Consider the following 16,649-nt stretch of genomic DNA (forward strand, 5'->3'; position numbering starts at 1 on the left):
AGGATCCCACTACTAGGAACTTGGTTGTATAGTCTCAGGAGTATCTCGGTAGAATTCCACTGCATCACATAGGGATGACCAGAACTTGAAGTCCCTATACCTAAGGTTTTTATTTCTGTTCCTTCTGTCTCTATGAGGACCCAGGAACCAAGAATTATTTAAGCAGGGTCTAGTTCCCTATTTCTAGAGAATTATACTACCCTCACAAAAACTTCTGAGACTGCAGAATTTTAAATAGTGACTGTTTAACATTTCTTGTCAACTAAACCCACTCTCATTAGCAAGGGCCAAGAAATTGCCACTGAAGAACATATTCAGTTTGATTCTTCTCACTAGCAGAAGAGGCTAGATAATGCCAAGCCTTTAAAATCCTTGAACTGCAGTCATGACTGCAGGTTTGAATACAATGCTTCTCTTATGCTCACTTGCAAGAGCATACAAAGTCTCAAGCCACCTAATTGCCAACAGAGGGAAGACAACATACCCTTCGACTCTTGTTCTATGGCTTCAGAGGGTAGGACACAATTATCTACTTTGGGACCATTCCTTGACTTCAGATGTGGTTGAATCCTGGTCAATTTTCCCATTTGTTCTCTAGTGAACTCTCATTCCCCTTCAACTTGAAGGGCAGTGACTAAACATTCCACAGATGAAGCCCAGTTTTACTTTGAAGTATGCTAGCATTTGCATTTACACCATCACTATTGGTAGTACTTTACTGTGGTATAGAAAGAAGTCATAATTCCTGCTGTACTGTCTATAGCACCATTGTGTACTGTACACAGATACCTAATTAGTACATTAAATGTTATTTAGGAAAACAATGCTTGTTTTGTTTGAGTTCCTTTGATTGTCATGGGTTTTAAGAGGGCTTTAGTGATACATGGGGGAAACTGATTGGGGGTTTTAGGTTGGTTGGGATTGCATTATTTTCCCCATCTAAAACTTTGGATAGCAGGAGTCCATATCCCACTTTCAAGGATAAATTAGAAGAGATGCATGTAAATTTAAACACATTTGACATTTGCAGAAGCCATGATGGAACACATGATCTCATCTTCATTTTGATCTTAAGTATAGGTCAGAAGAAGATTATTCCAGCCCAAGAAACCTCTGTAGTCTAAAGGGTACACTAACAGGACTACTGGGGAGCTGTGGTCTTTATGGGGAGTGAACATCATTTTGTTGGTTGCTCTTTGGGTGTTCAGCAATGAGAAGAGTCAGACTTTTCAAAGGCTGGCCAGCAGAAGCTTGGCAAAGGCTCTTTAGGATTTCATGCTGCTGCCTGAGGGTGGAGGACATTGCTGATTAGTGTCAGAGCTAGCTCCCCACAAAAAGGATACCAAGTTGGGAATGAGAATGCGGTTCCCTTGGCATCTTTAGTAAGTCTCTGGTAAATAAAAACTTGGTGAAATGGTCATTGACTGCAGTCCTGCACCATGATTTTCCTCTGGGGACTCAGTGGGTTTTATTGGCTCCTGTTTCATGCATAACGTAGGTGACGAAAGAGTCCAGGCCCAGCCTGGAAATCCTAAGATGCATAGGTCCACATCAAGGGGACACAGGTAACAGCAAAGCAGGCAGATTGCAACATTGACAGAGCCAGGTTTAGAGACGATAAACTTGTTCTTTGGAAACGAACTTAGAACTGGCTTCAGTACTGAACATGCCTAGAGGTATGAGTTCCTATGAATGAAGGGTAAGAATGTGACAAGTATGGTGGCCCATCTGTCCTTACAGGGATCTTCATAGCCAAGGACTGGATTTGAACAAGTCAGTCTCCAGCTATGTTTTAGACACTGAGGACTGTGCCCGTCATCCCTTAGAGCTTCTCTCTGGGCCACTGGCTCGAAGGGCACATCTCAGGGAAAAAGGTCAGTGTGATTCCCTTATTTCTTTGTGGAAAGACCTCAGTAGCCAAAGGTGTTTGCCCGTGTTATTTGTCTGAACAAGATCTTCTCTAGGACAGCTAGGTCCACAGGACAGCACCAAGAGTTACTCTGCATGCTTATAGTACCTGCTTACGAACAGAAACAGAGGCAATATTCACATGAAAGCTCAAATGTGGATCTCTCCTACCATAGTCACGTCTTCACAAGCTGACAGCCCTCTCAATTCTGAGATTTGTTATTCAGTCTTTTCCCAATAGGATCTACAAAGCACCTCTTGACCATTTATCATGCATGGAACCAACATGTCAAATTCCTCAATAACTGATTCCCGCCTAGGATCACACTCATTGACTAGCTCCGCCAATTCTTACAATTCATTCAGGCTCTGCTACAAGCATACAGCTTTGCTAGAAGTAGATTTCTTCTAGGAAATTTCATGCTACTGAGAGGTTGTGTGGCAGAGCCATGTTGCCATTCTTCCAGCATGACTTGATAGCTAAGTTGAACACTATCCCAAGGAGATGCCTCCTTGACAACTTACACTGCAAAGTGAATCATAACCCTGACCCTGGAGACTGCTATAACGGGCTCCTGTGAGAGTTCTATTTGCAGAACCCAGAATTCACAACGGAACATCAACATATCCAAAAGACAAGTTTCAATGAACAGATTCTCAGCAAAAGGACTCTAAGGATGCAGAGGAAGGGAAGTCACCCAATCTGGGAAGGAGGTACGTAGAAGAGTGTTACTATAGCAGGACGCTCACTTGAACTTGGGTTGTGTGTGAGTTCCCACCACTCTCTGGTGAGAATGACTCATTGTGCCCAAGTCACTTGTGCAAACAATGTGGTATATGAACACCTTTTCTTGGAGTTTGGAATTTGAATATGTACTAAAGCAGAGGATGCCTATTTTGGCTAGACCTCAATTAAAACCTTAGGTGCTGAGTTTCTAACAGGCTTCCCTGGCAGAAGACACATCATGAGTTTTACTCATAGCTGGGGAGTTAAGCCTTGGTGACCGCACTGGGAGAAGGCACTCAAGCTTGTGTTTTCTTCCAGACCTTGCCCCAGTGCCTTTTCTCTTAGCTGATTGTGCTTTGGATCTTTCATTGTGTAAGTAATAGCCATCAGTACAGCCATGGCTGTACTGAGAGTCCTACTTGTGAATCATTGACACTGGGTACAGTGGAGATCCCAACACAGTGGGTACCTAATTTTTGCCTGGAAACAGCATAATCTCAATTTCTAAAGGGCTACATACGTTTTGGGAAGTATGTATAATGTGTAACCAGGAAGGACTAAAGACCCTGGTATCTATTCCTAAAGATTTGCTATCCCTGTTTAAGGGTAAACATTTCTTCATATTCCTTGGTATGAGATGCCTCTCCCCATTCTTGCCAGCCTGGATTTTTTTTTTTTTTTCCCTCAAGGTGGAGTTTTGCTCCTGTTGCCCAGGCTGGAGTGCAATGGTGCAATCTCAGCTCACTGCAACCGCCGCCTCCTGGGTTCAAGCAATTCTCCTGCCCCAGCCTCCCTAGTAGCTGGGATTATAGGCACGTACCACCACGCCCGCATGATTTTTTGTATTTTTAGTAGAGATGGGGTTTCTCCATGTTGGTCAGGCTGGTCTCAAACTCCTCACCTCAGGTGATCCGCCTGCCTCGGCCTTCCAAAGTGCTGGGATTAAAGGTGTGAGCCACCGTGCCCAGCTGCCTGCATTTTTTTTTAAACCAGTGTGACAAATGTATCCAATGTTTTATATGAGAACATGCATTTCCTTATGTTTGCTGTCCATTTGTGTTGTCTCAAAAATTTCTCATATTTGTACATTTTTCTTTTTCCCTTAATGCCACTAATAGGCCAAGTGTTCAGTTTGCTCTTTTATGTTTAAAAGGCAAGGTGCTTAACCAAAGACTAGCTTATTCTATTTAATATAGCATTTTTTTACACCACCTAGTTCTGTTAGCTGCTCTAACCTCAGCTCTGGCATACAGGAAAAAGTTCTACAGCTACAGCTTGTAAGCAGTAATGAAAGAGAATTGAGTATATCAACTCCAAATTTGAGTGTTAGAATTCTAAGTCATTGTTACTAAGAGTTGTACATTTACATAGATATCTAGTCTAATTATTACTATCATTATGGAGCGGCTTCATGCCTGGTAATACTCCTTGCTCCAAGGTGTTTTGATACTGACACAGCCACTCCAGCTTTCTTCTGACCTGCGTTAGCATGGTGCATCTTCCCATCATTAACCATTTGTGTCTTTGGATAAAGACTCAACCATAGGCTGCCTACAAGAAACTTATTTTTATGAACTTTGATGATCCATACACTTTAGTAGTGCTATTTGGGTCATATTTATCTCATGTTTAGATTTAAGTATGCCATCTATTTTTGTGTAATTTGTTTTCATTTTTTCTGCCTGCTTTTATTATCCTATCTCCTTTGTCTACTTTTAGCTATAACTGTTTTGGTTGCTTTAGGGCTTACAGTATATGCTTAAACTTCCAGTCCACCTTGAATATGCCACTTCACATACAAGAAGCTATACTTCCTTCTCCCAGACTTTGTGCTATAGTCATTTCACTTCTACATGTTATAAACCCTGTGATACGTTGTTTAAACTGAGTTATCTTTAAAGTAAATTAAGTCTTGACCTACATATTTACTATTTCTGGAGATTTACTTGGCATTTCTTCCTCCTACCTGAATTTCTTTAGCATTTCTTATACCACAATAGAAGTCTGCCAATGATAAAAGATGGAAAGACAGAAGCTGAAATTGTTTTGCTTTTGTGTAAGATTCACTAGGAATAAGTATGTTGTCAGATTTTCTCAGTACTTTATGATATACCTTAGTTAAGGGAATTTTAAAAGTATAATGTATAGCAGAATGAGAAACATTTCTTTAGAAGCAATTCAAGCCAGAAGACAGTGGGCAACATTTTAAATAAGATTGCTTAAAAACAAGCAACAATTCATCATGTTTTTTGAAGTTCACTGGGCTCCTGGCATCTGTGGGTTTATGGTTTTCATGAAGTTTGGAACATTTTGGCCATGTTTTTGTCCCTCCCCTGCCCTTCAGGGACTCCAATTACAGCCACGTACCTGTGTTTCACTCCATGGACAGTGTATAAGATGGTGTTCCCATAAGATTAGTGGAGCTGAAAATTCCTGTTGCCTAGTGATGCCGTAGCTGTCATAATGTTGTAGTGCAATGCGTTACTCATGTTTGCAGCAATGCTGATGTAAACAAACCTAATAGACTGCCAGTCATCTGAAAGTATAGCATACAGTTATGTGCAATACATCATACTTCAGTGATTGCTTACTGGTTTATCTACTATTTGAGTATTTCCCTCTACATATCAAGTTAACTAAGACAGACACAGGCAGGTCCTTCGGGAGGCATTCCAGAAGGATGCATTGTTATCATAGGAGATGACAGCCCCATCCATATTACTGCCTCTGAAGATCTTCTAGTGGGACAAGGTGTAGAGGTAGGGAACAGTGCTATTGGTGATCCTGACCCCGTGTAGGCCGAGGCTACTTTGTGTGCTGACATCTTAGCTTAACGAAGGTCTAAAGGGTAAATAGAAACAAGCTTATAGAATAAGGATAAAAACATTCTTGTATGTATGTACAGTGTTTTAAGCTAAGTATTATCAAAATTTCAATTACAGTTAAGGAGTTTAAGTTAAAGATAATTTGGTACTAAAGTTTTATTAAGTTAGTATAGCTTAAGTATATTATGTTTACGAAGGCTACAGTAGAGTACAGTATCATCCCAGGTCTTTACATTCACTGACTCACAGCAGCTTCCAGTCCTGCAGGCACCATTCATGGTAAGTGCCCTATACAAGTACAGGTCATCCTTTACACCCTATTTTTACTATACTTTAAGATGAAAATAATGTTGTGTTACAGCTGCCTATGGTATTCAGTAATATGCTACACAGGTTTGTAGCCTAGGAGCAGGCCATATCATATAGCCTGGGTATGAGTAAGCTATACCATCTAGCTTCACATAAGTCACTAGTCTTGTCTTTTTTTTTGTACTTATTTATTTATTCATAATTTCAACTTTTTATTTTTTTTTATTATTATACTTTAAGTTTTAGGGTACATGTGCACAACGTGCAGGTTAGTTACATATGTATACATGTGACATGCTGGTGCGCTGCACCCACTAACTCGTCATCTAGCATTAGGTATATCTCCCAATGCTATCCCTCCCCCCACCCCACAACAGTCCCCAGAGTGTGATGTTCCCCTTCCTGTGTCCATGTGTTCTCATTGTTCAATTCCCACCTATGAGTGAGAATATGCGGTGTTTGGTTTTTTGTTCTTGCGATAGTTTACTGAGAATGATGATTTCCAATTTCATTCGTGTCCCTACAAAGGACATGAACTCATCATTTTTTATGGCTGCATAGTATTCCATGGTGTATATGTGCCACATTTTCTTAATCCAGTCTATCATTGTTGGACATTTGGGTTGGTTCCAAGTCTTTGCTATTGTGAATAGTGCCACAATAAACATACGTGTGCATGTGTCTTTATAGCAGCATGATTTATAGTCCTTTGGGTATATACCCAGTAATGGGATGGCTGGGTCAAATGGTATTTCTAGTTCTAGATCCCTGAGGAATCGCCACACTGACTTCCACAATGGTTGAACTAGTTTACAGTCCCACCAACAGTGTAGAAGTGTTCCTATTTCTCCACATCCTCTCCAGCACCTGTTGTTTCCTGACTTTTTAATGATTGCCATTCTAACTGGTGTGAGATGATATCTCATTGTGGTTTTGATTTGCATTTCTCTGATGGCCAGTGATGGTAAGCATTTTTTCTGTGTTTTTTGGCTGCATAAATGTCTTCTTTTGAGAAGTGTCTGTTCATGTCCTTCGCCCAATTTTTGATGGGGTTGTTTGCTTTTTTCTTGTAAATTTTCATTGTAGATTCTGGATATTAGCCCTTTGTCAGATGAGTAGGTTGCGAAAATTTTCTCCCATTTTGTGGGTTGCCTGTTCACTCTGATGGTAGTTTCTTTTGCTGTGCAGAAGCTCTTTAGTTTAATTAGATCCCATTTGTCAATTTTGGCATTTGTTGCCATTGCTTTTGGTGTTTTAGACGTGAAGTCCTTGCCCATGCGCCTATGTCCTGAATGGTAATGCCTAGGTTTTCTTCTAGGGTTTTTATGGTTTTAGGTCTAACATTTAAGTCTTTAATCCATCTTGAATTGATTTTTGTATAAGGTGTAAGGAAGGGATCCAGTTTCAGCTTTCTCCATATGGCTAGCCAGGTTTCCCAGCACCATTTATTAAATAGGTAATCCTTTCCCCATTGCTTGTTTTTCTCAGGTTTGTCAAAGATGAGATAGTTGTAGATATGCAGCGTTATTTCTGAGGGCTTTGATCAAGTGGGCTTCATCCCTGGGATGCAAGGCTGGTTCAATATATGCAAATCAATAAATGTAATCCAGCACATAAACAGAACCAAACACAAAAACCACATGATTATCTCAATAGATGCAGAAAAGGCCTTTGACAAAATTCAACAACACTTCATGCTAAAAACTCTCAATAAATTAGGTATTGATGGGACGTATCTCAAAATAATAAGAGCTATCTATGACAAACCCACAGCCAATATCATATTGAATGGACAAAAAACTGGAAGCATTCTCTTTGAAAACTGGCACAAGACAGGGATGCCCTCTCTCACCACTCCTATTCAACATAGTGTTGGAAGTTCTGGCCAGGGCAATTAGGCAGAAGAAGGAAATAAAGGGTATTCAATTAGGAAAAGAGGAAGTCAAATTGTCCCTGTTTGCAGATGACATGATTGTGTATCTAGAAAACCCCATTGTCTCAGCCCAAAATCTCCTTAAGCTGATAAGTAACTTCAGCAAAGTCTCAGGATACAAAATCAATGTACAAAAATCACAAGCATTCTTATACACCAATAACAGACAAACAGAGAGCCAAATCATGAGTGAACTCCCATTCACAATTGCTTCAAAGAGAATAAAATACCTAGGAATCCACCTTACAAGGAACGTGAAGGACCTCTTTAAGGAGAACTACAAACCACTGCTCAATGAAATTAAAGAAGATACAAACAAATGGAAGAATATTCCATGCTCATGGATAGGAAGAATCAATATCATGAAAATGGCCATACTGCCCAAGGTAATTTATAGATTCAATGCCACCCCATCAAGCTACCAATGACTTTCTTCACAGAATTGGAAAAAACTACTTTAAAGTTCATATGGAACCAAAAAAGAGCCTGCATCGCCAAGTCAATCCTAAGCCAAAAGAACAAAGCTGGAGGCATCACGCTACCTGACTTCAAACTATACTACAAGGCTACAGTAACCAAAACAGCATTGTACTGGTACCAAAACAGAGATATAGATCAATGGAACAGAATAGTCTTGTCTTTCAAATCTTTCATGCCTCCATTTAACATGTTCAGTCTTCTTTCTCAAACATATGGGTTGTAGGTATCTGTTTTAGTGTCCCTGTTCTAATTATGATTTCTAGACCTGTTTTTATTGATCTTATGAGTTGTACTTTTATAATTTAGAGATGAGGTCTCATTCTGTCATCCAGGCTGGGGTGCAGTGGTACAATCATAGCTCTCTGTGGCCCTAAATTCTTGGGCTCAAGCAACCCTCCTCCCTCAAACTGAGTAGCTGGGCTATAGGCACATACCACCAGGCCCAGCTAAGTTTTAAAGATTTGGAGATGTGAGGTCTCAATATGTTGGCTCAGGCTGGTCTCAAACTCCCAGCCTCAAGCAATCCATCTGCCTCAGCCTCCCAAAGTGTTGGGATTACAGGCATGAGCCAACACACCCAGTCATGAGTTGTATTTTCTTGATTCTCCATATGCCTGGACATTTGATTGGATGCCCAAAATTGTGACTTTGGATATTTTTGTATTTCTAGAATTATTCTTATACCTTATTCTAAGATAGTTACTTGGTCAGCTAGATCCTTTTGAGCCTTGCTTTTTTAGGCTTCATCAGGATTAGGATAGCCTCTAGGGCAGGACTTATTCCATTACTGAGGCAACACCTTTGAGTACTTTGTCCTATATCCCATGAGTTAGGTTTCTATTCTGGTTGCTAAGAATAAAATTATTTCAAGTGCTATGTGAGTTCCAAGGATCATTTCCTTTAAGTCCCCTTTGGGTGGTTCTTCCCTGGCCTAAGGTAGTTTCTTCACATGCATCTGGAGCTCAGCATTCAGCTGAAGATTCAAGGAGGACCCTCCATGGGTCTCTGGGGTGTTCTGTGTGTGGCTGTCTCCTCCAGCATTCTGCCCTGCTAATTCTAGCTACCTGGGCCGGCCAGAATTCAACTCATGGAGATTGCTAGGCTGTGTTGCCTGTGCCTGGGCTGCATTCTAGATACTCTCCAGCCACTAAACTGGGCAAGTTACAGGGTCACCTTGTCTATTTCCCCTCTTAGGCATCAGTCTTGTGCTCTTGATAGAAGACAGTTTTCAGACTCTTGATATGTTTTATCAGTTTTTAGTTGTTTCAGGCAGGAAGATAAATCTAACCCTGTAATTCCATTTTGGTCAGGAGAAGCCTATACTTGTCTCAAGTGTTTTGAAAAATCCTTCATGGGGGTAGCTGTTGGTCATTAAGAATTTCTAGTCTGACCAGTGGTCACTATCACTGCAGTATTACTGTTATGTACTTGCTGAAAGAATGGTGGGATAAAGATGGGCAGGTTTTTGGTAGGTATTTATCAAATGGCTCAGACTCAGGTGTAAAGGATAAACTTAACTCCTTGATTAGATTCTCAGCTGTTGGATACATTTCAGGTCTATAGGCTCAGTCTTTGGATCAATCTGATGGTCTTTGGTCTTTTCATGCAAGCAACAGACTACCAGGCAGTGATAGGCCCACAAATCTGAGACCTGTACAACCTAGCAGACTCTCGTTACCAGTGTCCCTCCAAATTGCTATATACCTGTCTCTCCAGGTTCTTAGGGAATGAACCCAGACCAATAAGGTCCTAGTGATGCCCACCTCAAAACCCAAGACTCCCAAATCCCCTGGCTTAGAATGGTTTACTGCCTGAGAAATTCTTATCTGTGATTCAAAAATCCATACGAAAGTGAAACCAAGTGATTTAAAAGCAGAGTGGTTAGCAGAAGGACAGTTGTCATTTTCTCCTTAAATTATGAAGGGTTTTTCCTTTAGGCTTATAATTCTGAAATAAGGTCAATGGCCTAGAATATGCAAACAGGGTCTAAGAACATATTTTAGTAACTAACATTGTTCTGGGTAAAGTTCCTGGTTATAAGAGGTTAATCTGATCTTTAGAGATAATGCCTAAAGCCATTTCGATAGAAGCAAGCATCTAAAGGTTTTTCTGACTGATCACAAGCTCTGATAAAAGCAATATCTGTTCAAGGAAAACAGCTATTTCTTCCAGGGAAGCTGCTCTATGTAAACAGTATCATACAAGAGACTGAAAGATGGAATCCTACCAGCAACAATGACAGAAATTTCTGCTTTCAGGATACTTTAGATCAACCTAGAATTTCAGAAACTAACAGAAGCCATGGAAAGGAAGGGAATGAAAACAAATGGCAAACTGGAACTATAGAGAGCCACTACAATCAGAACTTAGTCTAGGGAAGCCTCTGAAGTCATCTGAGGCAACAGTGGTCTGAATCCAAGGTTGGAGGTTCTAGTGGTTCACCTGCAGATAACAAAACCACTCTTCATCTGGGCTTGTCACTAAAACTGCTGTCATTTCTGTTAAGAACTCATTCAACAAATAAGACATTCATGTCTTATTAATGGCAGTGCCAAAAAAATGACAATCTCCATTTCTAATAGAGAGTGGACACTCCCTGTGAGTTCAGGCAGTTCTATTGGGGTGGTTGATCCCAGCCATACAAAGCCCAAGAGCTTGTATTCAAAGGATCTGAAGCTACACTGGGCACTAGGAAGAGACAATGCCAGCTTCACATGGCCACGTTATAAAATTGTTTAGCAAAGAATTCTTGGGAAAAGGCCATTCTGTGCAGAAGTAGAGTTGGAGTACCACCATCTGTAGTCTGGTCCTGTTCACATAAATGCCCAGTCTCAGGGATTCCATACACTTCCTGCTGGGAAGTCAAAGCCCTCTTCAGTGCCAGAAGTGGGCTACAGAGACTGGAAGCACAAGATTTTCCAATTCCCCTTAAGCCACATGAAGACCGTATCATTATGAATTGCGCTTGTCACAAGCATGTAAGGCTCTAGATAAAGCCAAACATTTTAGTCAACATTGAACCTGGGGCTGAATGCTAACATGCTTACATGGCTGGCAGAGCCTTGAAAAGTCTCCAGGCTGCTCACAAAGGCCACCTATTGACCCACATGCTGGTCAGTTGGTTCAGAATGAGCAGGAGACATAAGGTAATGTGTCTTCTGTCTCTTTGAATGATATTTTAACTTTGATAAAAGGGAGAAAATATACAGACTTATTTTGGTAAGGTTAGCATGAGATGTTCCTTGTCAGAAGATGGCATCAGTATTGCATAGACAGTGCTACAACACATGCCAATATCCTTTTCATAGACACTCAGACAATACCTATAGCTTCCTAGTTGTTTCAGACTTGTTTCTGCCCCTTTGCCAACACTGCTTCTCTACCTTAAGTAGGGTGATTGGTAAGTCAAAGGCTACTGGGAAGCCACAATTTAAGCAGTTAAAAGGTTAAAGCTGTATGGTAACTGGAAGTCTTATAACTGTATTAGGATAAATCCCAGTGGCTACAGACAGCATCTATTGTGAGCCAACATGACTCTCATCAACAGCAATTCAAAGGAAGATATAATTTTCTGTGAAGTCATCTTTAATCCCAAAATTATCTTTCTAGACCTGAGGCTAACAAGACCACATTTGGCTGAGTCCATACATGAGTTGGTTGAATATGCATCTGAAAGTTGAGCCTGAACAAGTTGAAGGACCTGTAGCTGCATTTGAAAGGAAATCCCCCAAAAAATATCTTGTTAGATGTCAGCCACAAGGTGTTTGTGGGGAAATTAAACTTTCTCAGGGGAATTGAGCTCAAAAAGATACCATGGAGAAGTTTAGCCCATTAAGATTGGAATTTGGGTTTCTCAAGGTACACATTTCTCTCATGGGACTAAGATGACTGACCCAAGCACAGGCCAGAGACTGGGGCAGCTAGGCAGCATCCATGCTGGTGTAAGCACCACGTGAGACTAGCATAGGTCCCTCAGACTGCACAGTACTTAGGTGAACACTGCAAGAGTCACAGCACTGTGGGAGACTGGAGGTACAGGCACAGCCTCACGGCTGTATGCCTCAGGTGTGGGCCTGGGCACCAAGATAGCATCTCACCCAGCGTGGGGGCTTTTCTGCCCACCTAGGTAGCCAGTGTGTCCCACAGCTTTGGAGGCTGCAGAGCGCCTGGGTGCCTCTTGGCTAAAATGGCCACCATGCACAGTTAGCTACAGACTCTCTGATGCCTATTTGCCAACTTGTGGGGCAGTTTGGGGTGCAGTAGGCTATAGGGATGCAGCTCTTGTCTCCGACTCTGGGCATACCATTCAGTGCTAATGCCTTTCAGAGGATGATACACCAAGGGAAAACCGGGGCCCCTTCTTGCAGCTGGTGAAAGTAAGGTTCTGCTAATAAAGCCCTGCTTCGCAATCTATTTTTGGCATAAGAATAAGCCCAGCTGGGCCTTGAAGTATGAGCAAAGCACTCCCTTGACGTGAAAAAGCAGGAAAAAAAATTTAAACTGTCTTCCTGGAGTCACTCTAACTTTAGAAAATCAGAATGACCAAGCTCATGACTTGTCTTCCGAACTCAGAGGGTCATTTTTCAGATGGTCATAGTATTTTTTCATGTATTCGTTTGAATATATAGATGGTTCTAGCTTTAAATATACTTAAGTTTTGCTTTTTGGTGGTCATGTTCTATTCAGTAGGTTACAACATGGCCTTCAGAGATACCAGTACCTTGATTAACAAGGGAATGAGGAGCAAACAGTCTTACTGTAAAGACTGATCGTTCCTTCTTTTTATATCTACCTTAACTAATTGGAATTTTAGAAAATTCTAGAGGCCATGGACTCAAGTGAGACAGGTTGTTGGGCAAGCTAGTCAATACAGCCAGACCAGGATTAAAGTTCTGGAGCTCTGTATCCAACTAAATAGCAGGCTCACAGACACATTGAGAACAGATGCCCAAAGCCCCCACAATAAAACGACATAGCCAACATGAAGTTTGAGTGCATAGGAATTTGACCCTAGGTCCCATCCATTGAGCTCATCCCTAACACCTATCCCAGAGTAACCAGATTTGACACCACTTGGCTCCTCACGAAGAATCATAAAACATTTTGTTGGAGGGATGCCACTTCGACCAAATTGGGAAATAAAATAGAGGTCATTTGAAGGTGTTTTTAACCCATGTTCAGTCCTACGGTCATCCTATATACTTGAGCAGCCCGGGTTTTGGTGTCGTTACAGATAAACACCTCAGAGCAGACCAGAACCATCAGATGATCACCTCCCCCTGCCTATCTCTCTTTTACATTTGTCACAGTTCTTTGATTAGGTGAGGCAGCAGGCCAGGTCATTTTCAGATACTTCTTGAGCCTGGAAAAGACAAAAACCAGATGCAGACTTCTCATGAGGCTGGCCCTCAACATCAGGAAATCAGGCTGGTCACATCACGGGCTCTCAGTATTAAGAGACTTAAGCACTAATAACTACAGAAAATATGATTCAAGGAAGCCATCACTTTTTCTGCAATAGTACATTATGCTCAGAGCAACTTGTTGTTTAATATAAAGCTATGTTTCTATTCTATCAAGTTTCCAACTAGAGTCTATAGCTCTATTCCTCTATTCCTATGTGATGTTATCTAGGGGTCTAGGAACTACAGGTGTGAGTTGGGCTGGCTCATTATGTTCTCTTCCAGGAAGCTACTAGCAGAATTTGTGCTCCCCATCCACACATGCTTAGGTTCTCCTAAGTAAGAGGTCCTGGTTCTACAGTAAGGTAGGAGAGATTTCTAATGTACACTGAGAGCATTCAATGTCAGATTCAAAGTGACCAAGCACGTACAGGCTGGGCAACCTAAAATGCTGCACAATCCACAACTGAGTGCTGACATGATGCAAGTTGAAAATTTTACATCTGACCACATGTGTCAGGTCAGTCAAAACAGAGGCACACCATTTGTGTTCCAAGGGGGGAAAAACACCCTCCAAGCCTCCTTTAGCCATGATACATCTTTTCTGCACATGCAGATTCCCCCATACAAACATGCCCACAAAGGAAAATAAGATGGCGTGCAGGCTGGGCACACCAATGGCAGATTTCCCACAATGCCCTACTTGGGGACAAGAGCTATGCAAAGATTATTCTAAGTGTTGGGAGCAGGCCCCCCCTGAAATCTGGCCATAAACTGGCCCCAAAACTGGCCATAAAAACAAAATCTTTGCAGCACTGTGACATGTTCATGATGGCCATAATGCCCATGCTAGAAGGTTGTGGGTTTATGGGAATGAGGGCAAGGAACACCTGGCCCACCCAAGGCAGAAAACCACTTAAAGGCATTCTTAAGCCACAAACAATAGCATGAGCGATCTGTGCCTTAAGGACATGCTCCTGCTGCAGTTAACTAACCCAACCTACTCCTTTAATTTGGCCCATCCCTTCGTTTCCCATAAGGGATACTTTTAGTTAATTTAGTATCTATAGAAAAAACGCTAATGACTGGTTTGCTGTTAATAAATACTTGGGTAAATCTCTGTTCGGGGCTGTCAGCTCTGAAGGCTGTGAGACCCCTGATTTCCCACTTCACACCTCTATATTTCTGTGTGTGTGTGTGTGTCTTTAATTCCTCCAGTGCCGCTGGGTTAGGGTCTCCCCGACCAAGCTGGTCTCGGCACTAAGCTCTGGTAGAGAGATACTGTTGGAAGGGTCAAGTCCTACCGACAGCCCTGTGGGTAACAGTGATAAAAAGGCAGCATTTATGTTTATCTATAGCACAGAAAGCCAAGCTGTTGGAGAAACTGAACAGCAGTTAGAGTGTGAAGCATCTTACAGAAGAGTATAGTATTGACCACCATATGGAATGACCACCATGTGACCTGACAAAACAAAAATAAGCTAGTGAAGTTCGTGCTGAAAGTAGTGGATAGTAGAAAAATATTAAATAAAGCTGTAAGTGAAGGTAATCATGTTTGACAGTAGGTCTGTCAGCATGGCAGTGAACACACGTCACTCAGTGCTGTGCTAATTATGAAACAAGCAGAGATCACCATGGATTGAAAATTAGGGGGAACTGAATATTCAACAGACTGATAACAGAAGTTTAAAAGACATGGCAGTAAGCTTTCAAACATCTGTGGCAATAAAGACATCTGATCACGAAGCAGTGAAGAAATTCCTTAGTCATTCCACCAAGGTCACTTCTGGTGAAAGTCTGATGCCAGGACAAGTCTATGATGCTGACAAAATACTGTTTTAGCATTATTGCCCCAGAAAGACTACAGCTGATGGGACAGCCTATAGAAACTGAGGATGCCAAGGACAGTAACTATGCTGGGATGTGCTAATGAAGACAGTGTAAACTTGTTATGAATGGCAAAAGCTTGTGTCCTCACTGTTTAAGGAGTTTCCTACAAGTCCATTATTGTGCTAACAAAAGGGTGTAGATAATTTAGGGACATCTTTCCCAGTTTATCATTTTGTGTCAGTAACTCATACTCACTGCAGGGAAGTTAGATTGGATGACAACAGCAAGACTGCTATTCCTTGATCATTGTTCTGTTCATCTTCCAGCTGAAGTTATTAAAAAGTGTTTATGCCATGTACTTTCACAACACAATTGCGTTAATTCAGCCACACGACTAGGATAGCCTTAGACCAGTAAATGAACACTTTGAACAGCATGCTAGCAGCTGTTAATAGAGGCATGGGTGTAGGTTTTCAAAAGGAAACCAGCATAGCAAATGCTTACATGCTGTTGTCAATGCTTGGAACAGTGATGAGTGTGTGCCTGAACATACAATCTCTGGCCTGCAATTATGTTCAGTGGTGAACAAGGCAATGACTTTGAAGGATTTTCGTGGGGAAAATGACCTTTGCATATGCAAAAGATATAGCTTCAGAGTCCATTAGTAGGCTGGAAGAAACGGATGTTGACTTTTCAAAAGTTGTTCATTGCCAGGGAAATAGCTGAAATGGCTCTGACTAAGGTGATTGTGGCAACAGCAAAAGTATAGTATAGAAGTAGTATCTTCAGATGACATGGTAGAAGTGTGTGATAGGTTTAAGGACTAGAGCAGAGTATGTTCTTAAATTGTATCAGTCTCATTTTACCAATAAAAATGATAGTTTAAATGAGGCAGATGATGCTGGAGGAAGCATTAAAAACCCATTCACCGAATATCTCATCTCTAAAGGGCCCATTTCCTGGTCCTTCAACTGCTTGATGTTTTCTCATGTAAAGAAAATATAGTGTAATCTTTTAATCAAAAACAGCATCATAGGTAGACCGATTTCTGTTTAACAGCTGATGCAGGTATTCTGGTGATGCTACTAGGCCTAGTTACCCTAAGCACTTTTCATTGCATTAGTTGTATGTCTTTTCACTGTTAAAACACCATATGAATAAAGTGATCGCTTATCAGTGGCATATAAACTCAAAGTCAAGAATGACGGTGATGCTAAACTATAGGTTGTCCATAT

General features: G+C 41.3%; 1 long non-coding RNA gene across 4 annotated transcripts in view; it reads left to right on the top strand.

The window, feature by feature from the left end:
• Positions 1–16,649, top strand: part of LOC105369995 (uncharacterized) — a 36,373-nt gene that overhangs the window by 711 nt on the left and 19,013 nt on the right. For all 4 annotated transcript variants that reach the window (NR_188422.1, NR_188424.1, NR_188423.1 and 1 more), the window contains exon 2: positions 1,741–2,622. This is a non-coding gene — a long non-coding RNA (uncharacterized LOC105369995). The remainder of the gene's footprint in view (positions 1–1,740; positions 2,623–16,649) is intronic.

This window comes from Homo sapiens, chromosome 12 (assembly GCF_000001405.40).
Source record: "Homo sapiens chromosome 12, GRCh38.p14 Primary Assembly".
NCBI lineage: Eukaryota > Metazoa > Chordata > Mammalia > Primates > Hominidae > Homo > Homo sapiens.